Source organism: Homo sapiens, chromosome 10, assembly GCF_000001405.40.
Source record: "Homo sapiens chromosome 10, GRCh38.p14 Primary Assembly".
NCBI lineage: Eukaryota > Metazoa > Chordata > Mammalia > Primates > Hominidae > Homo > Homo sapiens.
The window spans coordinates 122,584,895-122,609,530 of NC_000010.11; the positions used below are offsets into that span (position 1 = coordinate 122,584,895).

A 24,636-nucleotide genomic window follows, 5' to 3' on the forward strand; every position below is an offset into this window, starting at 1 on the left:
ACTGGGAAACTTGATACCCCTTTGGTCAGCTCCTTGGTTTCCCTAACGTTTTAGCTCGAGCTAGTAGAGTGTCAGCAATGGTGTTAGATGTACCCGTCAGTGCATGTGTCAGTGCATGGAACAGGCTAACCCTTTGTGACTGAGAAGAGGACATCCCACACTTCAGAGGCAGGAGGGATCGAACTGGTCTCCAGCAAGGCTTATGTCCCTTGCTGAGCTTGCTGAGCTGCAGACTTGGGCAGACACATGGGGAGCAAAGTGGCAGGAATCAGAAGTGGGGTAGTTTTCATGATGCTCGCCTTCTCCGGAGACTTTTCCTTTTGGAGATTTTCACCATCAACTTTAATTCTAGCCTTTGTCTCTGTTGCAATTACAGACACGTTGCCGACCATCACCTTACCTGCATCGACAGTAGGTAAATAATCCTCTCGCCCCTCCCTAGGGCTCACTCTCTACCTCTGGACAAATGTTTTTTTCTGAAATGATAGGATGAGGGTCAAGGTGGGCCCCTCTGTTTTTCATGTCCCTGTGGGTTGCATGGGAGGAAGGTAGAGTCTCTGGGGACCCAGCTGTGGGTCTGATGTTGGAGGCTGGAGGGTGCTGGTGACTTTTCTCCCGTGGAATCCTGTTCCAAGTGGTCAGGAAACATCCTCATCCAGGTGCCAAGGAAAAGCCCTGGAAGCTTCCCTAATCCTACTAAGACCTCATTCCTGTCCCTCAGCCCATGGGCTGCAGAGGTGTGAAGAGTCAGTGAAAGTGAGTGTCCCCACACCTGTCTGGCCAAGGCCTTGTCATACCTGTGAAATTTTCAGAAGCCAGACAGGACCATAGGATTGCCACCAAGCTCCTGAGATGGGGAGAGTCTGGCCTGCCTACTGTAGCTGTGTAGCTCCATCCTGTGTGTGCCCAGGTTAGGGAATGGGGTTTCCGTTCCTGTTAACTCCAGTAGGGTCACAGGTGCTTCCCCAAACTTGAGCCTTCATAAACCCAGGCAGAACTGCTTCTTTGACTTTGATGAAGCTGAATCTCTGGTTTTATTCATATTCAAAGGTGACTGCCTGCCCAGGTGACTTTAGCCATTAGGACGTGCCTTGAGTGTGGAACATTCCTTAGATTCTTGACCTCATGATAGGGATGGATGAAGGGTTCTTGTTTTCCCCTGTAGGATCTGAATCCAGTTTGGCCCTGAGGCTGGTGAATGGAGGTGACAGGTGTCAGGGCCGAGTGGAGGTCCTATACCGAGGCTCCTGGGGCACCGTGTGTGATGACAGCTGGGACACCAATGATGCCAATGTGGTCTGCAGGCAGCTGGGCTGTGGCTGGGCCATGTTGGCCCCAGGAAATGCCCGGTTTGGTCAGGGCTCAGGACCCATTGTCCTGGATGACGTGCGCTGCTCAGGGAATGAGTCCTACTTGTGGAGCTGCCCCCACAATGGCTGGCTCTCCCATAACTGTGGCCATAGTGAAGACGCTGGTGTCATCTGCTCAGGTGGGCCTCCAAGACTTTTGGTTTCCTCTCTTGGGGTAGATTTTGCTCAGGAAGGTTTTATTATGTTCTAATCTCCTCACTTAGAGCTTTTTCAACTTTTCCTATATTTCTGATACCTCCTTAGCTCTCTCCTAGGAAACCGCATGAGTCTTCACCACATTGCCAGGTTTTGAGGAGGTCAGAGAGGACAATGGGCCAAAGTGAAATAAGGGTCACACCTTTGTTCCCCTACTGAGGCAGCGCAAGCAGAGGGAGAAGACGAAAGCGCCGGGTCTTTGCCTTTTAGTGTGGCTGGAAAGGAATAGCTGGGGCCAGGTTGTTCATGAAGATAGAGGTTGATTTGGGTCTTGGGTCTTTGCAGGCTGCATAGGAGCATGGTGCAGGCATCTGCTCGGCTTCTGCTGAGGACCTCAGGCTGCTTGTACTCCTGGCAGAGGGGATGGGGAGCTGGCCTGGGCAGAGGTCACATGGCGAGGGATGAAGCAAGATGGCAGAAGAAGATGGGGAGGTGGCCTGGACAGAGGTCACATGGTGAGGGAGGAAGCAAGAAAGAGCAAGAGGGAGGGCCCAGACAGTTTTCAACCACCAGCTCTTTCTAGGAACTAAGAGAAGAACTTACCCCTGACCAGGGAGGACACTAAGTTATTCATGAAGAGTTGGCCTTCATGACCCAGACATGGCACATCAAGCCTCACCTCTATACTTGGGGATCCAATCCCAACATGAGTCTTAGATGGGACAAACATCCAAACTATAGCATGCTGCCTCTCCAGGGTTCCACCTTTCCCCTACTGAAAGGTTTAGGTGAGGGTGAGGTGGATGCAGCACATATAGGCATTGAGGGAGGGACGGTCTGACTGGGAGGATTCCAGAACCAAGGGCTCATGCTGGGAAGGGAGGGTTTTCTGCTGAGGACTAATAAGGAGGCATCAGACCGGAAACACAAGGCTGGGAGTGGAGATTCGTGACTGTCCATATCTGACCTGGGTTTTGGGGGTGTGAGTGCTTGATTGCAATTCCCTCCAGAGCACTGCAGTGTCTTGCCTGTGCACCGGTCAGGTGTGGGGCAGGCAGTGCCCATGAGGCTTACTGAGCAAAGCCTTGTTATGAATGCCTGTGGGCTGGGCTAGAAGATCACAGGCTGGATATTTTTTTTTTGCAGGAGTGGCCTCTTCATACTTGCTGACTCAGGGACTGCTAAGATGTGCAAGGGAGTGGGTTGGTTTTGTGTCAACCTGATTACTATGGGCAGACACAAAGTCCTTCAAACACCCCCAGATGCAGCAGGGCCCCATCTACATGCGGAAAGGCAGAGGCCGTGCTCAGGCAAGGAGAGAGATATTAGATATTTCTGGTACCTCCACTTGCCAGGAGACTTTATACTCCTTTGGGCAGCTCCCTGATCCTTCTAACATTTTAGCTGTAACAATCAGAGGCTCAGCAATGGTGTCAGATGTGTCCATTAGTCCATGTGTCAGTGGATGGGGCAGGCAAACCCTTTGTAGCTGAGAAGAGGATATCCCACACTTCAGAGGTAGGAGGGATTGGACTGGTCTCCAGCGAGGCCTATGTCCCTTCCTGAGCTTACTGGGCTGAAGAGTTGGGCAGACACATGGGGAGCAAGTGGCAAAAACCAGAAATCCAGTAGTTTTCATGATGCTTGCCCTATCTGGAGACTTTTCCTTTTGGAGCTTTTCACCCTCAAGTTTAATTCTAGCCTTTGTCTTTGTTGCAATTAAAGACACGTTGCCGACCACCACATTACCTGCATCAACAGTAGGTACAGAATCTTCTCACCCCCACTAGGGCTCACTCTCTACTTCTGGACAAATGTTTTTTTCTGAAAATGAGAGGATGAGGGTCAGGGTGGGTCCCTGTCTTTTTCATATCCCTGTGCATTGAGTGGGAGGAAGTTGGAGTCTCTGGGGAGCCAGTCCTGCTTCTGGTGTTGGAGGGTAGAGGGGGCTGGTGACCTGTCTCCCTTGGGATCCTCTTCCAAGTATCAGGAAATAATAAAGAAAAAAAAAAAAGATCCTCATCCAGGTGCTGAGGACAAGCCCTGGAGGGCTCCCTACTCCTATTCGACCTCGTTCCTGGCCCTCCAGCCATGCACTGCAGACCTGCAAGGGTGGGTGACAGTTTCTGTCCCTGCAGCTGTCTGGCCAAAGCCTTGCCATCCTTGGCAATTTGCCAGAAGCCAGGGAGGACCATGGGGGTGCCACCTAACTCTTGAACATGGGGACAGCATGGTCCTGCCCTCTGGAGCTGTGGAGCTCCATCCTGTGTGTGCCCAGAGTAGGGAGTCGGTTGTCTATTCCTGTCACCTCCACTGGGGTCACAGGTGCTTCCCCAAAACTTGAGCCTTCATAAACCCAAGGAGAATAGTGTATCACCTCTCCTTCTACTGTGATGAAGCTGAACCTCTGGTTGCAGTCATCTTTAATCGTGACTGCCTGCCCAGGTGACTTTGGCCATTAGGAAGTGCCCTGAGTGTGGAATGTGCCTTAGATCCTTGACCTGCTGATAGGGATTGATGAAGGGTTCTTGTGTTCTCCTATAGGACCTGAATCCAGTTTGGCCCTGAGGCTGGTGAATGGAGGTGACAGGTGTCAGGGCCGAGTGGAGGTCCTATACCGAGGCTCTTGGGGCACCGTGTGTGATGACAGCTGGGACACCAATGATGCCAATGTGGTCTGCAGGCAGCTGGGCTGTGGCTGGGCCACGTCAGCCCCAGGAAATGCCCGGTTTGGTCAGGGCTCAGGACCCATTGTCCTGGATGATGTGCGCTGCTCAGGACATGAGTCCTACCTGTGGAGCTGCCCCAACAATGGCTGGCTCTCCCACAACTGTGGCCATCATGAAGATGCTGGTGTCATCTGCTCAGGTGGGCCTCCAGCAATTTTGGTTTCCTCTCTTGGGGTAGATTTTGCCCAGGAAGAGAGGTCTTATGTTCTAATCTCCTCACTCAGAGCTTTTTCAACCTTTCCTATGTTTCTGATATCTCCTTAGCTCTCTTCTAGGAAACTGCATGAGTCTTCACCACAGTGCCAGGTTTTGAGGAGGTCAGAGAGGACAATGGGCCAAAGTGAAATAAGGGTCATGCCTTTGTTCCCCTACCAAGGCAGCGCAAGCAGAGGGAGAAGAGGAAAGGGCTGGGTCTTTGCATTTTAGTGTGGCTGGAAAGGAATGGCTGGGGTCAGGTTATTCATGAAGAAAGAGGCAGATTTGGGTCTTGGCTTTGCAGGCTGCATAGGAGCGTGGTATCTGCTTGGCTTCTGCTGACAGCCTCAGGCTGCTTGTGCTCCTGGCAGAAGGAGATGGGGAGGTGGCCTGAGCAGAGGTCACGTGGCAAGGGAGGAAGCAAGAGAGGGCAAGAAGGAAGGCCCAGGCTCTTTTCAACCACCAGTTCTTGCTAGAAACTAAGAGAAGAACTCACCCCTGATCAGGGAGGGCACTAAGTTGTTCATGAATGGTTGGCTTCCATGACCCAGACATGGCACATCAGGCCTCACCTCTATACTTGGGGATCCAATCCCAACATGAGTCTTGTATGGGACAAACATCCAATCTATAGCACACTGGCTCTCCAGGGTTCCATCTTTCCCCCACTGAAAGGTTTAGGTGAGGGTGAGGTGGATGGAGCACATATAGGTGTTGGGGGACGGACGATCTCACCGGGAGGAGTCCAGAACCAAAGGCTTATGCTGGGAAGGGAGGGTCTTCCGCTGAGGCCCAGTAAGGAGGCATCAGACTGGAAACACAAGGCTGGGAGTGCAGATCTGTGTCTGTCCAAGTCTGGCCTGGGTTTTGGGGGTGTGAGTGCTTGACTGCAATTCCCTCCAGAGCACTGCAGCATCTTGCCTGTACACCAGTCAGGTGTAGGGCGGGCAGTGCCCATTAGGGCTGCTGAGCAAAGCCTTGTTATGAATGCCTGTGGGCTGGGCTAGAAGATCACAGGCTGGATTTTTGCTGGAGTGGCCTCTTCATACTTGCTGACTCAGGGACTGCTAAGACGTGTAAGGGAGAGGGTTGGTTTTGTGTCAACCTGATTACTGTGGGTAGACACAAACTTAATCACTTTGGAGCTGGCAGTAGTGGACAAGATCTGCCCAGATGCCTTTCAAGGAGCATCTTTGTGGGGACGTGCATGGCAATGCCCCTCCCTCTGTGATGGGGACATAGGGTGGACTGAAGGCGCTACCAGTTTAGTTCCTTGTACCTTTGTTCTGGTTTTGCCAGCTTCTGTATAGTGCATCTGATCTGACCTCCTCTTTCTCACAGCTGCCCAGTCCCGGTCGACGCCCAGGCCAGGTGAGTCCCCAGTGTCCTTCCTTGGGATGTCCCTTTTCTTTCTGCACAATTATCCTTTTTCCCATTCCACAGAGCCCTCCTTCTTACCTGTGTGGATACTGTGGGTCATACTATTTTCCCTGCTCTGTAACTGAGACCCTAGCATGGAGCTTCTTAACCAGACATGGTTAAGAAGGTATGATCTTTCTAAGAATTGAGAGTGATTGCCAAAGTCTCCTGGGAAGGCAATTTCAGCTAAAGCCTTAAACATGCCTGTCCATGGGCAAGAATGTCAGTGCAGGCCTGATACCTCCATTCCTCACTCCTTCAGACACCCCCAGATGCGGCAGGGCCCCATCTACCTCCAGACAGGCAGAGGCTGTGCTCAGGCAGGGAGAGCGATATTAGATATTTCCGTTGCCTCCACTTGCCAGGAGACTTTATACTCCCTTAGGCAGCTCCCTGATCCTTCTAACATTTTAGTTTCAAGCGTGAGAGGCTCAGCATTGGTGTCAGATGTGCCCATCAGTCCATGTGTCAGTGGATGGGGCAGGTAAACCCTTTGTAGCTGAGAAGAGGGTATTCCACACTTCAGAGGCAGGAGGGATCGGACTGGTCTCCAGTGAGGACTATGTCCCTGGCTGTGCTTCCTGAGCTACAGACTTGGGCAGACACATGGGGAGCAAGTGGCAGGAACTAGAAATGGAAGAATATTCATGATGCTTGCCTTGTCCAGAGACCTTTCCTTTTGGAGCTTTTCTCCCTCAACTTTAATTCTAGCCTTTGTCTTTGTTGCAATTTACAGACACGTTGTCGACCATCACGTTACCTCCATCGACAGTAGGTAAATAATCCTCTCACCCCTCCCTAGGGCTCACTCTCTACCTCTGGACAAATGTTTTCTCTGAAAATGATAGGATGAGGGTCAAGGTGGGCCCCTGTCTTTTTCACATCCCTGTGCGCTGAGTGGGAGGAAGTTGAGTCTCTGGGGAACCAGTCCCGGGTCGGGTGTTAGAGGGTGGAGGGTGTTGGTGACCTATCTCCTGTTGGACCGTGTTCCAAGTATCAGTAAAGATCCTCATTCAGGTGCTGGACAAACCCTGGAGAGCTCCCTACTCCTGGGACCTCATTCCTGGCCTTCTGGCCATGCATTGCAGACCTGCAAGGGAGGGTGAAAATTTCTGTCCCTGCAGTTGTCTGGCCAATGTGTTGCCATCCCTGGCAATTTGCCAGAAGCCAGAGAGGACCACGTGGGTGCCACCAAACTCTTCGACATGGGGATAGCATAGGCCTGCCCTCTGGAGCAGTGGAGCTCCATCCTGTGTGTGCTCAGAGTAGGGAGTGGGGTGTCCATTCCTGTCACCTCCACTGGGGTCACAGGCGCTTTCCCAAAATCTGAGCCTCCATAAACCCAGGCAGAATAGGGTATCACCTCTCCTTCCAGTATGATGAAGCTGAACCTCTGGTTGCAGTCGTATTCAATCGTGACTGCTTGTCCAGGCGACCTTGGCCATTAGGAAGTACCCTGAGTGTGGAACGTGCCTTAGATCCTTACCTCATGGTAGGGATGGATAAAGGGTTCTTGTGTTCCCCTGTAGGATCTGAATCCAGTTTGACCCTGAGGCTGGTGAATGGAAGTGACAGGTGTCAGGGCCGAGTAGAGGTCCTATACCGAGGCTCCTGGGGCACCGTGTGTGATGACAGCTGGGATACCAATGATGCCAATGTGGTCTGCAGGCAGCTGGGCTGTGGCTGGGCCACGTCGGCCCCAGGAAATGCCCGGTTTGGCCAGGGCTCAGGACCCATTGTTCTGGATGATGTGCGCTGCTCAGGACACGAGTCCTACCTGTGGAGCTGCCCCCACAATGGCTGGCTCTCCCACAACTGTGGCCATCATGAAGATGCTGGTGTCATCTGCTCAGGTGGGCCTCCAAGACCTTGGGCTCCCTCTCCTAGACTGGAGTTTGCTCAGGAAGAAAATCCTAATTACATTCTGATCTCCTCACTCAAAGATTCTTCTATGTTTCCTATATTTATGTAGTCTTGTTAGCTCTCTGCTAAGGATCTGTATGAATTTTACTACAGGGCTTGGTGTTCCTGTGGTCACTTAGGACAGGCCCCAAACTGAAACAACAACCCAGACTTTATCCCCTTCCTGAGGCAGTGCAAGAAAGAGGCCGAAGAGAAAACTGCTGGCTCCCCAGGGTTCCATTTCTCCTCAGCTGAGTAGCACTGGGTGAGGGTATCATGGACATAGGACAGACAGCAAGGTAGGGGAGGAATCCTCTCACTGAGAGGAACTCTGAGCTAAAGATGCTTGTCTGAAAGTGAGTTCTCAGCTGAGACCCAGTGAGGAGGTCTGGAAATAGAGGCTCAAGGGTTAGGGGTGCAAATGGGTGTCTGGTTCTATCAGGCCTGGGTTGTGTGAGGTTGGAGTCCTTGACCTCAGGTCCTCTCAGAACGCTGCAGAGCACTGCCTTGCCCTGGGTCTGGTGTGGGGAGGGCAGCCCCCATGAGACAGGCCAGGCATGGCCTTGTTATTGCCTGTGGTCGGGGCTTGAAGATCACACAAGGGATTTTGGCTGGAGTGGCTTCCTCAGCCTTGCTGACTCAGGAACACCTAAGATGTGCAAGGGAGTGGGTTGGTTTAGGTCAACCGGGTTACCCTGGGCAGACACAATTTGATCACCTCAGAGCTGGCAATAGTGGAAGGATCTGCCTCGACCCCTTACACGGTGCATCTCTGTGGGGATGTGCATGGCAATGTCCCTCCCTGTGTGATAGGAACTAGGATGGACTGAGTGTCAGACTCGCTCATTTCTTTCCCTCCTCGTTCCAGTTTTGCCGACTTCTGTGTAATGTTCCTGATCTGACCTTCTCTTCTCTTTCTCACAGTTTCCCAGTCCCGGCCGACACCCAGTCCAGGTAGGTCCCCAGTGTCCTTCCTCAAAATGTCCCTTCTCTTTCTGCCCAATCACCCCTTCCACACTCCACAGAGCTCTCCTGTTTCTCTGTGTGGATACTGTGGGGCATATTATTTCCACCCCCAACACCGGCTGTGTAACTGAGACCCCAGCACAGCGCTTTTTAAACACACACAGGATTGAGGAGGCCTCTGTCTTCTTTTCAACCCCTCTCAGCTTTCATGAAACAGTTTCATACTGTCCCAGTGGACAACCCTTACAGGTTCAGGAAGTGGCCCCATGTTTAATGAGCTTTGGTCCTTTTATATTCCGGACTCACATATAGTTTCTGAAAATTGAGGGTGTCACCCTCTGACCCGTTCAAGGCATCGTCAGGGCAGGCTCGATACCCCCATCCATCACTGCTGGAAACATTCCGAGATTATGATTCCGAGATTTCTATCCAGAAGAGGCAGAGTTTGTGCTCGGGCAGGGAGAGGGATAATAAAGGTTTGTGATGTCTCTGCTTAACCAGAAACCTGATTCCTGATTGTCCCCTGGGCAGCCCCTGGTTCCCCTAACATTTTACCTGGCAGTGTCCGAGCCTCAGCAATGGCGTCTGATGTCCTAGTCAGTCCATGCATCAGCAGATGTGGGATGGCATGGTGGGGGCATCCTCTAACAGATAGAAAGATACCCCAGGATTAGAGAAATGGAGGGCTCAGTCTGGTCTCCAGCAGGACCTTTGTCCCTGGATGAGTTCACAGCACAGGAGACCTGGGAAGACACATGGGAAACAAATGGCAGGAACAAGAAGTGGAATTGTTGTCACGTTGATTCCTCCTCCCAGAGATCCTTTTGTTCTGTGCCTTTTCCCTTCAAGTCTAATTCTGTCTTTTCCTTTTGTTGCAATTTACAGATACTTGGCCGACCTCACATGCATCAACAGCAGGTAAATAACCCTCTCACCCCTCCCTAGGACTCACTATCTCTGGACATATTTTGTGTTTGAAACTGATAGGATGAGGCTCAATGTGGGCTTCTCTGTTTTCATGTCCCTGTGGGTTGCGTGGGAGGAAGGTGGAATCTCTGAGGAGCCAGTCCTGGGTCTGATGTTTGAGGACGGAGGGTGTTGGTGACCTGTCTCCCATGGAATCCTGTTCCAAGTGGTCAGGAAAGATCCTCATCCAGGTGCTCAGGACGAGCACTGGAGGGCTCCTTAATGCTGCTGGGACCTCATTCCTGGCCCTCAGGCCATGGGATCCAGACCTCTGAAGAGCGGGTGAAAGTGCCGGTCCCTGCACCTGTGTGGCCAAGGCCTTGCCATCACTGGCAATTTGCCAGAAGGCAGAGAGGCCCATGCAGGTGCCAATAAGCTCCTGAATATGGAGGGGGTCTAGGCCTGTCATTTGTAGCTGTGTAGCTCCATCCTGTGTTCACCCAGAGTGGGGAGTGGGGTGTCCATTCCTGTCCTCTCCTCTGGGGTCATACATGCTTACCCATAGCTTGAGCTTTTATAGACTTGAGTAGAATAGGGCATCACTTTTTCCACTATGACCAAGCTTAACCTCTGGGTGCAGCCATCTGCCATTGTGACTGCGTGCCCTGGTGACTTTGGCATTTGTATTCAAACTTGACTACTTTTCCCATTGCCCTGAGTGTTGTCCATGCCTTTTCCTTCACCTCAGAATGGAGATGGATGAAGGATTCTTGTGTTCCCCTGTAGGACCTGAATCCAGTTTGGCCCTGAGGCTGGTGAATGGAGGTGACAGGTGTCAGGGCCGAGTGGAGGTCCTATACCGAGGCTCCTGGGGCACCGTGTGTGATGATAGCTGGGACACCAGTGACGCCAATGTGGTCTGCCGGCAGCTGGGCTGTGGCTGGGCCACGTCAGCCCCAGGAAATGCCCGGTTTGGCCAGGGTTCAGGACCCATTGTCCTGGATGACGTGCGCTGCTCAGGCTATGAGTCCTACCTGTGGAGCTGCCCCCACAATGGCTGGCTCTCCCATAACTGTCAGCACAGTGAAGACGCTGGTGTCATCTGCTCAGGTGGGCCTCCAAGACCTTGGGCTCCCTCTCTTGGGGTAGATTTTGCTCAGGAAGCGAGGTCTCATTATGTTCTGATCTCCTCACTCAGAGCTTTTTCAGCCTTTCCTATATATCTGATATCTCCTTAGCTCTCTCCTAGGAAACTGCATGAGTCTTCATTGCCAGGTTTTGAGGAGGTCAGGTAGGACAACGGGCCAAAGTGAAATAAGGGTCACGCCTTTGTTCACCTACCGAGGCAGCGCAAGCAGAGGGAGAAGAGGAAAGTGCCAGGTCTTTGCCTTTTAGTGTGGCTGGAAAGGAATAGCTGGGGCTGGTTTGTTCATGAGGAAAGAGGCTGATTTGGGTCTTGGCTTTGCAGGCTGCATAGGACCATGGTGCAGGCGTCTGCTCAGCTTCTGATGAGGGCCTCGGGCTGCTTGTACTCCTAGCAGAAAGGGATGGGGAGGTGGCCTGGGCAGAGGTCACAAGGTGAGGGAGGAAGGAAGAGAGAGCAAGAGGGAGGGCTCAGACTCTTCAACCACCAGCTCTTGCTAGGAACTAAGAGAAGAACTCACCCCTGACCAGGGAGGGCACTAAGTTATTCATGCAGTGTTGGTCTCCATGACCCAGACCTGGTGCATCAGGCCTCACCTCTAAACTTGGGGATTCAGTTGCAATATAACACTTGGATGTGACAAGCCTCTAAAGTATAGCACCCTGGCTCTCCAGGGTTCCATCTTTCCCCTACTGAAAGATTTTGCAAAGGGTTACATGGATGAAGCACATATAGAGGATGGGGGAGGGACTGTCTCCCTGGGAGGAGCCCAGAACCACAGGCTCCTGCTAGGAAGCGCGGTCTTCTGCTGAGGCCCAATAAGGTGATGTCTTAATAGAGACACAAGGCTAGGAGTGCGGATGTGTGTCTGTCCCTCTCTGGCCTGAGATTTGGGGGCTGTGAGTCCTTGACCACAACTCCCTCCAGAGCACTGCAGTGTCTTGCCTGTGCACCGGTCTGGTGTGGAGTGTGCAGTCCCCATGAGGTCTGCTAGGCAAAGCATTGTTATGAACGCCTGTGGGCTGGACTGGAACATCAGAGGCAGGACTTTGGCTGGAGTGGCCTCCTCACATTTGCTAACTCAGGGACTGCTAAGACATGCAAGGGAGAGGGTAGGTTTTGTGTCAACCTGATTACTATGGGCAGACACAAGGTTAATCACCTTGGAGTTGGCAATAGTGGACAGGATCTGCCCAGACACCCTCCAAGGAGCATCTCTGTGGGGACATGCATGGCAATGCCCTCCCTCTGTGATGGGGACCTAGGGTGGACTGAAGGCATGATCTGTTTAGTTCCTTCCACCTTTGTTCCGATTTTGCCAGCTTCTGTATAGTGCATCTGATCTGACCTCCTCTTTCTCACAGCTGCCCACTCCTGGTCGACGCCCAGTCCAGGTGAGTCCCCAGTGTCCTTCCTTGGGATGTCCCTTCTCTTTCTGTATAATTATCCCTTTCTGCACTCCACAGAGCCCTCGTTCTTCTCTGAGTGAATACTACATGGCATACAATTTTCCCCTGCTCTGTAACTGAGACCCTGGAATGGCGCTTCTGAACCAGACATAGGGTTCAAGAGGCTTCTGTCTTCTGTTCCATTTATCTCAGCTTTCATGAAGCAGTTTCATACTGTCCCAATGGCCAACCCTTAGAGGTTTAGGAAGTGACCTCATATTTAATTAGCTTTGGCACTTTTCTATTCAGAGCTGATATGACCTTCCTGAGAATTGAGAGTGATTGCCAAAGTCTCCTGGGTAGCCAATGTCAGCTAAAGCCTTAAACATGGCTGCCGCCACAGGCAAGCAATGTCAGTGCAGGCCTGACACCTCCCTTCCTCACTCCTTCCAACACCCCAGATTCTGCAGGGCTACATGTGCATCCAGAAGAGGCATAGGCCATGCTCGGGCAGGGAGAGGGATAATAAATATTTCTGGTGCCTCCACTTACTGGGAAACTTGATACCCCTTTGGTCAGCTCCTTGGTTTCCCTAACATTTTAGCTCGAGCTAGTAGAGTGTCAGCAATGGTGTTAGATGTACCCGTCAGTGCATGTGTCAGTGCATGGAACAGGCTAACCCTTTGTGACTGAGAAGAGGACATCCCACACTTCAGAGGCAGGAGGGATCGAACTGGTCTCCAGCAAGGCCTATGACCCTTGCTGAGCTTGCTGAGCTGCAGACTTGGGCAGACACATGGGGAGCAAGTGGCAGGAACCAGAAGTGGGGTAGTTTTCATGATGTTTGCCTTCTCCGGAGACCTTTCCTTTTGGAGATTTTCACCATCAACTTTAATTCTAGCCTTTGTCTCTGTTGCAATTACAGACACATTGCCGACCATCACCTTGCCTGCATCGACAGTAGGTAAATATTCCTCTCGCCCCTCCCTAGGGCTCACTCTCTACCTCTGGACAAATGTTTTTTCTGAAAATGATAGGATGAGGGTCAAGGTGGGCCCCTCTCTTTTTCATGTCCCTGTGGGTTGCATGGGAGGAAGGTAGCGTCTCTGGGGACCCAGCTCTGGGTCTGATGTTGGAGGCTGGAGGGTGCTGGTGACTTGTCTCCCGTGGAATCCTGTTCCAAGTGGTCAGGAAACATCCTCATCCAGGTGCTGAGGAAAAGCCCTGGAGGGTTCCCTAATCCTACTAAGACCTCATTCCTGTCCCTCAGCCCATGGGCTGCAGAGGTGTGAAGAGTCGGTGGAAGTGACTGTCCCCACACCTGTCTGGCCAAGGCCTTGTCATACCTGTGAAATTTTCAGAAGTCAGACAAGACCATAGGATTGCCACCAAGCTCCTGAGATGGGGAGAGTCTGGCCTGCCTACTGTAGCTGTGTAGCTCTGTCCTGTGTGTACCCAGGTTAGGGAATGGGGTTTCCATTCCTGTTAACTTCAGTAGGGTCACAGATGCTTCCCCAAAACTTGAGCCTTCATAAACCCAGGCAGAATAGGGTGTCACTGCTTCTTTGACTTTGATGAAGCTGAATCTCTGATTTTATTCATATTCAAAGGTGACTGCCTGCCCAGGTGACTTTAGCCATTAGGACATGCCTTGAGTGTGGAACATTCCTTAGATTCCTGACCTCATGATAGGGATGGATGAAGGATTCTTGTGTTCCCCTGTAGGATCTGAATCCAGTTTGGCCCTGAGGCTGGTGAATGGAGGTGACAGGTGTCAGGGCCGAGTGGAGGTCCTATACCAAGGCTCCTGGGGCACCGTGTGCGATGACAGCTGGGACACCAATGATGCCAATGTCGTCTGCAGGCAACTGGGCTGTGGCTGGGCCATGTCAGCCCCAGGAAATGCCCGGTTTGGTCAGGGCTCAGGACCCATTGTCCTGGATGATGTGCGCTGCTCAGGACACGAGTCTTACCTGTGGAGCTGCCCCCACAATGGCTGGCTCTCCCACAACTGTGGCCATAGTGAAGACGCTGGTGTCATCTGCTCAGGTGGGCCTTCAAGAACTTGGGATCACTCTCTTGGGGTGGAGTTTGCTCCAGAAGAAACTCCTAATTACATTCTGATCTCCTCACTCAAAGCTTCTTCTATGTTTTCTATATTTCTGAAGACTTGTTAGCTCTCTGCTAAGAATCCCTATGTACTCACTGCCTAGTGTTCCTGTGGTCACTTAGGACAGGGGACCAAACTCAAACAACCCAGAGTTTTTCCCCTTCCTGAGGGAAGGCAAGGAAGAGGCAGAAGAGAAAAGTGCTGGCTCCCCAGGGCTCCATTTCTCCCCTGCTGAGTAGCACGGTGTGAGGGTATAATGGATGCAGGACAGACAGCAAGGCGGGGTAGGGATCCTCTCACTGTGAGGAACTCTGAACTAAAGATGCTTGTCTGAAAGTGGGTTCTCAGCTGAGACCCAGTGAGGAGGTCTGGAAATAGAGGCTCAAGGGTTAGGAGTGCAAATGGGTGTCTGATTCTATCACGCCTGGGTTGTGTGAGGTTGGAGTCCTTGACCTCAGGTCCTCTCAGATCACTGCTGAGCATTGCCTGTGCCCCAGGTCTGGTGTGGGGAGGGCAGCCCCCATGAGGCCGGCCAGGCATGGCCTTGTCATTGCCTGTGATCAGGGCTTGAGGACGGCACAAGGGATTTTGGCTGGAGTGGCTTCCTCAGCCTTGCTGACTCAAGAATGCCTAAGACGTGCAAGGGAGAGGGTTGGTTTAGGCCAACCGGGTTACCCTGGGCAGACACAAGTTGATCACCTCAGAGCTGGCAATAGTGGACAGGATCTGCCTCGACCCCTTACATGGTGCATCTCTGTGGGGATGTGCATGGCAATGCCCCTCCCTGTGTGATAGGAACTAGGATGGACTGAGTGTCAGACTCGCCCATTTCTTTCCCTCCTCGTTCCACTTTGCCGACTTCTGTGTAATGTTCCTGATCTGACCTTCTCTTCTCTTTCTCACAGCTTCCCAGTCCCGGCCAACACCTAGTCCAGGTGGGTCCCCAGTGTCCTTCCTCAAAATGTCCCTTCTCTTTCTGCCCAATCACCCCTTCCACACTCCACAGAGCTCTCCTGTTTCTCTGTGTGGATACTGTGGGGCATATTATTTCTACCCCCAACACCAGTTGTGTAACTGAGACCCCAGCACAGCGCTTTTTAAACACACACAGGATTGAGGAGGCCTCTGTCTTCTTTTCAACCCCTCTCAGCTTTCATGAAACAGTTTCATACTGTCCCAGTGGACAACCCTTACAGGTTCAGGAAGTGGCCCCATGTTTAATGAGCTTTGGTCCTTTTATATTCCGGACTCACATATAGTTTCTGAAAATTGTGAGTGTCACCCTCTGACCTGTTCAAGGCATCATCAGGGCAGGCTCGATACCCCCATCCTTCACTGCTGGAAACATTCCGAGATTATCATGGGCCACATTTGTATCCAGAAAAGGCAGAGTTTGTGCTTGGGCAGGGAGAGGGATAATAAAGGTTTGTGATGTCACTGCTTAACCAGAAACCTGATTCCTGATTGTCCCCTGGGCAGCCCCTGGTTCCCCTAACATTTTATCTGCCAGTGTCCGAGCCTCAGCAATGGCGTCTGATGTCCTAGTCAGTCCATGCATCAGCAGATGTGGGATGGCATGGTGGGGGCATCCTCTAAGAGATAGAAAGATACCCCAGGATTAGAGAAATGGAGGGCTCAGTCTGGTCTCCAGCAGGACCTTTGTCCGTGGATGAGTTCACAGCAGAGGAGACCTGGGAAGACACATGGGAAGCAAGTGGCAGGAACAGGAAGTGGAATTGTTGCCAGGTGGATTCCCCCTCCCAGAGAACCTTTTGTTCTGCACCTTTTCCCTTCAAGTCTAATTCTGTCTTTTCCTTTGTTGCAATTTACAGACACTTGGCCAACCTCACATGCATCAACAGCAGGTAAATAATCCTCTCACCCCTCCCTAGGGCTCACTGTCTCTGGACATATTTTGTGTTTGAAACTGATAGGATGAGGCTCAAGGTGGGCCCCTCTTTTTTCACTCCCCTGTGGGTTGCGTGGGAGGAAGGTGGAATCTCTGAGGAGCCAGTGCTGGGTCTGATGTTTGAGGATGGAGGGTGCTGGTGACTGTCTCCCATGGAATCCTGTTCCAAGTGGTCAGGAAAGATCCTCATCCAGGTGCTCAGGATGAGCACTGGAGGGCTCCTTAATCCTACTGGGACCTCGTTCCTGGCCCTCAGGCCATGGGATCCAGATCTCTGAAGAGCAGGTGAAAGTGCCAGTCTCTGCACTTGTGTGGCCAAGGTCTTGCCATCACTGGCAAATTGCCAGAAGGCAGAGAGGACCATGCAGGTGCCAATGAGCTCCTGAATTCGGAGGGGGTCTGGGCTTGTCATTTGTAGCTGTGTATCTCCATCCTTTGTGTACCCAGAGTGGGGAATGGGGTGTCCATTCCTGTCCCCTCCTCTGGGGTCATACATGCTTACCCATAGCTTGAGCTTTTATAGACTTGAGTAGAATAGGGCATCACTTTTTCCACTATGACAAAGCTTAACCTCTGGGTGCAGCTATCTTCCATCATGACTGCATGCCCTGGTGACTTCTGCATTCGTATTGAAACTTGACTACTTTGCCCACTGCCCTGATTGTTGTCCATGCCTTATCCTTGACCTCATATTTGAGATGGATGAAGCGTTCTTGTGTTCCCCTGTAGGATCTGAATCCAGTTTGGCCCTGAGGCTGGTGAATGGAGGTGACAGGTGTCAGGGCCGAGTGGAGGTCCTATACCGAGGCTCCTGGGGCACCGTGTGTGATGACTACTGGGACACCAATGATGCCAATGTGGTTTGCAGGCAGCTGGGCTGTGGCTGGGCCATGTCAGCCCCAGGAAATGCCCGGTTTGGCCAGGGTTCAGGACCCATTGTCCTGGATGATGTGCGCTGCTCAGGACATGAGTCCTATCTGTGGAGCTGCCCCCACAATGGCTGGCTCTCCCACAACTGTGGCCATCATGAAGACGCTGGTGTCATCTGCTCAGGTGGGCCTCCAAGACCTTCGGCTCCCTCTCCTAGGTTGGAGTTTGCTCAGGAAGAAAATCCTAATTACATTATGATCTCCTCTGAACTCACAGATTCTTCTATGTTTCTTGTATTTATGCAGCCTTGTTAGCTCCCTGCTAAGAATCTGTATGAATTTTGCTACAGCGGTTGGTGTTCATGTGGTCACTTAGGACAGGGGACCAAAGTCAAACAACAACCCAGACTTTATCCCCTTCCTGAGGCAGTGCAAGGAAGAGGCAGAAGAGAAAACTGCTGGCTCCCCAGGGCTCCATTTCTTCCCTGCTGAGTAGCAGTGGTTGAGGGTATCATGGACATAGGACAGACAGCGGGGCAGAGGAGGGATCCTCTCACTGTGAGGAACTCTGAACCAAAGATGCTTGTCTGGAAGTGGGTTCTCAGCTGAGACCCAGTGAGGAGGTCTGGAAACAGAGGCTCAAGGGTTAGGAGTGCAAAATGGGTGTCTGGTTCTATCAGGCCTGGGTTGTGTGAGGTTGGAGTCCTTGACCTCAGGTCCTCTCAGAACGCTGCAGAGCACTGCCTTGCCCTGGGTCTGGTGTGGGGAGGGCAGCCCCCATGAGACTGGCCAGGCTTGGCCTCATTATTGCCTGTGGTCGGGGCTTGAAGATCACACAAGGGATTTTGGCTGGAGTGGCTTCCTCAGCCTTGCTGACTCAGGAACACTTAAGATGTGCAAGGGAGTGGGTTGGTTTAGGTCAACTGGGTTACCCTGCGCAGACACAATTTGATCTCCTCAGAGCTGGCAATAGTGGACAGGATCTGCCTCAACCCCTTACACGGTGCATCTCTGTGGGGATGTGCATGGCAATGTCCCTCCCTGTGTGATAGGAACTAGGATGGACTGAGTGTCAGACTCGCCCATTTCTTTCCCTCCTCATTCCAGTTTTGTCGACTTCTGTGTAACATTCCTGATCTGACCTTCTCTTCTCTTTCTCACAGCTTCCCAGTCCCAGCCGACACCCAGCCCAGGTAAGTTCCCAGTGTCCTTCCTCAAAATGTCCCTTCTCTTTCTGCCCAATCACCCCTTCCCCACTCCACAGAGCTCTCCTGTTTCTCTGTGTGGATACTGTGGGGCATATTATTTCTACCGCCACCACCGGCTGTATTTCACATGGGTCCTTTTCTATTTTCCCTAAGTGTCAGCCGGTCTGAGAAATAAAGGGAAGGCATACAAAAGAGCAAAATTTTAAAGCTGGGTGTTGGGGGGAGACATCACATGTCAGCAGGTTCCGTGATCCCTCCTGAGTAGCAAAACCAGCAAGTTTTTATTGGTGATTTTCAAAAGGGGAGGGAGTGCACAAATAGGGTGTGGGTCACAGAGATCACATCCTTCACAAGGTAATAAAATATCACAAGGTAAATGGAGGCAGGGCAAGATCACAGGACTGGGGTGAAATTAAAATTGCTAATGAAGTTTCGGGCACGCATTGTCATTGAAAACATTTTATCAGGAGACAGGGTTTGAGAGCAGACAACTGGTCTGACCAAAATTTATTAGGAGGCAATTTCCTCATCCTAATAAGCCTGGAAGCGCTACGGGGGACCGGGGCTTATTTCATCCCTTATCTGTAAGCGTAAAAGACAGACGTTCCCAAAGCGGCCATTTCAGAGGCCTCCCCTTAGGAACACATTCTCTTTCTCAGGGATGTTCCTTGCTGAGAAAAGGAATTCAGCGATATTTCTCCTATTTGCTTTTGAAGGAAGAGAAATGTGGCTCTGTTCTGCCTGGCCCACAGGCAGCCAGCCTTTAAGGTTATCTCCCTTGTTCCCTGAACAACGCTGTTATCCTGTTCTTTTTTCACAGTGCCCAGATTTCATATTGTTTAAACAATTTCTGCAGTTAACGCAATCATCACAGGGTCCTGAGGTGACATTCATCCTCAGTTTATGAAGAAGATGGGATTAAGAGATTAAAGTAAAGACAGGCATAGGAAATCACAAGAGTATTGATTGGGGAAGTGATAAGTGTCCATGAAATCTTCACAATTTATGTTCAGAGATTGCAGTAAAGACAGGCGTAAGAAATTATAAAAATATTAATTTGGGGAACTAATAAATGTCCATGAAATCTTCAAATTTATGTTCTTGTGCCATGGCCTCAGCCGGTCCCTCTGTTTGGGGTCCCTGACTTCCCGCAACACAGCACAGTGCTTTGAAAACACACATAGGATTCAGGAGGCCTCTGTCTTCTTTTCAACCCCTCTCAGCTTTCATGAAACAGTTTCATACTGTCCCAGTGGACAGCCCTTACAGGTTCAGGAAGTGGCCCCATGTTTAATGAGTTTTGGTCCTTTTATATTCAGGACTCACATATAGTTTCGAAAATTGAGGGTGTCACCCTCTGACCTGTTCAAGGCATTGTCAGGGCAGGCTCGATACCCCCATCCATCACTGCTGGAAAAATTCTGAGATTATGATGGACCACATTTGTATCCAGAAGAGGCAGGGTTTGTGCTTGGGCAGGGAAAGGGATAATAAAGGTTTGTAGTGTCTCTGCTTAGCCAGAAACCTGATTCCTGATTGTCCCCTGGGCAGCCCCTGGTTCCCCTAACATTTTATCTGCCAGTGTCTGAGCCTCAGCAATGGCATCTGATGTCCTAGTCAGTCCATGCATCAGCAGATGTGGGATTGCATGGTGGGGGGCATCCTCTAACAGATAGAAAGATACCCCAGGATTAGAGAAATGGAGGGCTCAGTCTGGTCTCCAGCAGGACCTTTGTTCATGGATGAGTTCACAGCAGAGGAGACCTGGGAAGACACATGGGAAGCAAGTGGCAGGAACAGGAAGTGGAATTGTTGCCAGGTGGATTCCCCCTCCCAGAGAACCTTTTGTTCTGCACCTTTTCCCTTCAAGTCTAATTCTGTCTTTTCCTTTGTTGCAATTTACAGACACTTGGCCAACCTCACATGCATCAACAGCAGGTAAATAATCCTCTCACCCCTCCCTAGGGCTCACTGTCTCTGGACATATTTTGTGTTTGAAACTGATAGGATGAGGCTCAAGGTGGGCCCCTCTTTTTTCACTCCCCTGTGGGTTGCGTGGGAGGAAGGTGGAATCTCTGAGGAGCCAGTGCTGGGTCTGATGTTTGAGGATGGAGGGTGCTGGTGACTGTCTCCCATGGAATCCTGTTCCAAGTGGTCAGGAAAGATCCTCATCCAGGTGCTCAGGATGAGCACTGGAGGGCTCCTTAATCCTACTGGGACCTCGTTCCTGGCCCTCAGGCCATGGGATCCAGATCTCTGAAGAGCAGGTGAAAGTGCCAGTCTCTGCACTTGTGTGGCCAAGGTCTTGCCATCACTGGCAAATTGCCAGAAGGCAGAGAGGACCATGCAGGTGCCAATGAGCTCCTGAATTCGGAGGGGGTCTGGGCTTGTCATTTGTAGCTGTGTATCTCCATCCTTTGTGTACCCAGAGTGGGGAATGGGGTGTCCATTCCTGTCCCCTCCTCTGGGGTCATACATGCTTACCCATAGCTTGAGCTTTTATAGACTTGAGTAGAATAGGGCATCACTTTTTCCACTATGACAAAGTTTAACCTCTGGGTGCAGCTATCTTCCATCATGACTGCATGCCCTGGTGACTTCTGCATTCGTATTGAAACTTGACTACTTTGCCCACTGCCCTGATTGTTGTCCATGCCTTATCCTTGACCTCATATTTGAGATGGATGAAGCGTTCTTGTGTTCCCCTGTAGGATCTGAATCCAGTTTGGCCCTGAGGCTGGTGAATGGAGGTGACAGGTGTCAGGGCCGAGTGGAGGTCCTATACCGAGGCTCCTGGGGCACCGTGTGTGATGACTACTGGGACACCAATGATGCCAATGTGGTTTGCAGGCAGCTGGGCTGTGGCTGGGCCACGTCAGCCCCAGGAAATGCCCGGTTTGGCCAGGGTTCAGGACCCATTGTCCTGGATGATGTGCGCTGCTCAGGACATGAGTCCTATCTGTGGAGCTGCCCCCACAATGGCTGGCTCTCCCACAACTGTGGCCATCATGAAGACGCTGGTGTCATCTGCTCAGGTGGGCCTCCAAGACCTTCGGCTCCCTCTCCTAGGTTGGAGTTTGCTCAGGAAGAAAATCCTAATTACATTATGATCTCCTCTGAACTCACAGATTCTTCTATGTTTCTTGTATTTATGCAGCCTTGTTAGCTCCCTGCTAAGAATCTGTATGAATTTTGCTACAGCGGTTGGTGTTCATGTGGTCACTTAGGACAGGGGACCAAAGTCAAACAACAACCCAGACTTTATCCCCTTCCTGAGGCAGTGCAAGGAAGAGGCAGAAGAGAAAACTGCTGGCTCCCCAGGGCTCCATTTCTTCCCTGCTGAGTAGCAGTGGTTGAGGGTATCATGGACATAGGACAGACAGCGGGGCAGAGGAGGGATCCTCTCACTGTGAGGAACTCTGAACCAAAGATGCTTGTCTGGAAGTGGGTTCTCAGCTGAGACCCAGTGAGGAGGTCTGGAAACAGAGGCTCAAGGGTTAGGAGTGCAAAATGGGTGTCTGGTTCTATCAGGCCTGGGTTGTGTGAGGTTGGAGTCCTTGACCTCAGGTCCTCTCAGAACGCTGCAGAGCACTGCCTTGCCCTGGGTCTGGTGTGGGGAGGGCAGCCCCCATGAGACTGGCCAGGCTTGGCCTCATTATTGCCTGTGGTCGGGGCTTGAAGATCACACAAGGGATTTTGGCTGGAGTGGCTTCCTCAGCCTTGCTGACTCAGGAACACCTAAGATGTGCAAGGGAGTGGGTTGGTTTAGGTCAACTGGGTTACCCTGCGCAGACACAATTTGATCTCCTCAGAGCTGGCAATAGTGGACAGGATCTGCCTCAACCCCTTACACGGTGCATCTCTGTGGGGATGTGCATGGCAATGTCCCTCCCTGTGTGATAGGAACTAGGATGGACTGAGTGTCAGACTCGCCCATTTCTTTCCCTCCTCATTCCAGTTTTGTCGACTTCTGTGTAACATTCCTGATCTGACCTTCTCTTCTCTTTCTCACAGCTTCCCAGTCCCAGCCGACACCCAGCCCAGGTAAGTTCCCAGTGTCCTTCCTCAAAATGTCCCTTCTCTTTCTGCCCAATCACCCCTTCCCCACTCCACAGAGCTCTCCTGTTTCTCTGTGTGGATACTGTGGGGCATATTATTTCTACCGCCACCACCGGCTGTATTTCACATGGGTCCTTTTCTATTTTCCCTAAGTGTCAGCCGGTCTGAGAAATAAAGGGAAGGCATACAAAAGAGCAAAATTTTAAAGCTGGGTGTTGGGGGGAGACATCACATGTCAGCAGGTTCCGTGATCCCTCCTGAGTAGCAAAACCAGCAAGTTTTTATTGGTGATTTTCAAAAGGGGAGGGAGTGCACAAATAGGGTGTGGGTCACAGAGATCACATCCTTCACAAGGTAATAAAATATCACAAGGTAAATGGAGGCAGGGCAAGATCACAGGACTGGGGTGAAATTAAAATTGCTAATGAAGTTTCGGGCACGCATTGTCATTGAAAACATTTTATCAGGAGACAGGGTTTGAGAGCAGACAACTGGTCTGACCAAAATTTATTAGGAGGCAATTTCCTCATCCTAATAAGCCTGGAAGCGCTACGGGGGACCGGGGCTTATTTCATCCCTTATCTGTAAGCGTAAAAGACAGACGTTCCCAAAGCGGCCATTTCAGAGGCCTCCCCTTAGGAACACATTCTCTTTCTCAGGGATGTTCCTTGCTGAGAAAAGGAATTCAGCGATATTTCTCCTATTTGCTTTTGAAGGAAGAGAAATGTGGCTCTGTTCTGCCTGGCCCACAGGCAGCCAGCCTTTAAGGTTATCTCCCTTGTTCCCTGAACAACGCTGTTATCCTGTTCTTTTTTCACAGTGCCCAGATTTCATATTGTTTAAACAATTTCTGCAGTTAACGCAATCATCACAGGGTCCTGAGGTGACATTCATCCTCAGTTTATGAAGAAGATGGGATTAAGAGATTAAAGTAAAGACAGGCATAGGAAATCACAAGAGTATTGATTGGGGAAGTGATAAGTGTCCATGAAATCTTCACAATTTATGTTCAGAGATTGCAGTAAAGACAGGCGTAAGAAATTATAAAAATATTAATTTGGGGAACTAATAAATGTCCATGAAATCTTCAAATTTATGTTCTTGTGCCATGGCCTCAGCCGGTCCCTCTGTTTGGGGTCCCTGACTTCCCGCAACACAGCACAGTGCTTTGAAAACACACATAGGATTCAGGAGGCCTCTGTCTTCTTTTCAACCCCTCTCAGCTTTCATGAAACAGTTTCATACTGTCCCAGTGGACAGCCCTTACAGGTTCAGGAAGTGGCCCCATGTTTAATGAGTTTTGGTCCTTTTATATTCAGGACTCACATATAGTTTCGAAAATTGAGGGTGTCACCCTCTGACCTGTTCAAGGCATTGTCAGGGCAGGCTCGATACCCCCATCCATCACTGCTGGAAAAATTCTGAGATTATGATGGACCACATTTGTATCCAGAAGAGGCAGGGTTTGTGCTTGGGCAGGGAAAGGGATAATAAAGGTTTGTAGTGTCTCTGCTTAGCCAGAAACCTGATTCCTGATTGTCCCCTGGGCAGCCCCTGGTTCCCCTAACATTTTATCTGCCAGTGTCTGAGCCTCAGCAATGGCATCTGATGTCCTAGTCAGTCCATGCATCAGCAGATGTGGGATTGCATGGTGGGGGGCATCCTCTAACAGATAGAAAGATACCCCAGGATTAGAGAAATGGAGGGCTCAGTCTGGTCTCCAGCAGGACCTTTGTTCATGGATGAGTTCACAGCAGAGGAGACCTGGGAAGACACATGGGAAGCAAGTGGCAGGAACAGGAAGTGGAATTGTTGCCAGGTGGATTCCCCCTCCCAGAGAACCTTTTGTTCTGCACCTTTTCCCTTCAAGTCTAATTCTGTCTTTTCCTTTGTTGCAATTTACAGACACTTGGCCAACCTCACATGCATCAACAGCAGGTAAATAATCCTCTCACCCCTCCCTAGGGCTCACTGTCTCTGGACATATTTTGTGTTTGAAACTGATAGGATGAGGCTCAAGGTGGGCCCCTCTTTTTTCACTCCCCTGTGGGTTGCGTGGGAGGAAGGTGGAATCTCTGAGGAGCCAGTGCTGGGTCTGATGTTTGAGGATGGAGGGTGCTGGTGACTGTCTCCCATGGAATCCTGTTCCAAGTGGTCAGGAAAGATCCTCATCCAGGTGCTCAGGATGAGCACTGGAGGGCTCCTTAATCCTACTGGGACCTCGTTCCTGGCCCTCAGGCCATGGGATCCAGATCTCTGAAGAGCAGGTGAAAGTGCCAGTCTCTGCACTTGTGTGGCCAAGGTCTTGCCATCACTGGCAAATTGCC

At 51.1% G+C, this 24,636-nt stretch overlaps 1 protein-coding gene across 5 annotated transcripts in view; it reads left to right on the forward strand.

The window, feature by feature from the left end:
• DMBT1 (deleted in malignant brain tumors 1) overlaps positions 1-24,636 on the forward strand; it is an 82,983-nt gene that overhangs the window by 24,141 nt on the left and 34,206 nt on the right. For 4 of the 5 annotated variants that reach the window (NM_001377530.1, NM_007329.3, NM_001320644.2 and 1 more), the window contains 20 exons: positions 377-415; positions 1,166-1,489; positions 4,050-4,373; positions 5,771-5,800; positions 6,585-6,623; positions 7,378-7,701; positions 8,675-8,704; positions 9,602-9,634; positions 10,409-10,732; positions 12,131-12,160; positions 13,080-13,118; positions 13,880-14,203; positions 15,170-15,199; positions 16,097-16,129; positions 16,903-17,226; positions 18,206-18,235; positions 20,156-20,188; positions 20,962-21,285; positions 22,265-22,294; positions 24,215-24,247. In NM_001377530.1, coding sequence (NP_001364459.1) covers positions 377-415; positions 1,166-1,489; positions 4,050-4,373; positions 5,771-5,800; positions 6,585-6,623; positions 7,378-7,701; positions 8,675-8,704; positions 9,602-9,634; positions 10,409-10,732; positions 12,131-12,160; positions 13,080-13,118; positions 13,880-14,203; positions 15,170-15,199; positions 16,097-16,129; positions 16,903-17,226; positions 18,206-18,235; positions 20,156-20,188; positions 20,962-21,285; positions 22,265-22,294; positions 24,215-24,247 — 2,697 coding nt within the window. The remainder of the gene's footprint in view (positions 1-376; positions 416-1,165; positions 1,490-4,049; positions 4,374-5,770; positions 5,801-6,584; positions 6,624-7,377; positions 7,702-8,674; positions 8,705-9,601; positions 9,635-10,408; positions 10,733-12,130; positions 12,161-13,079; positions 13,119-13,879; positions 14,204-15,169; positions 15,200-16,096; positions 16,130-16,902; positions 17,227-18,205; positions 18,236-20,155; positions 20,189-20,961; positions 21,286-22,264; positions 22,295-24,214; positions 24,248-24,636) is intronic. The other variant, NM_004406.3, reaches the window with a different exon arrangement.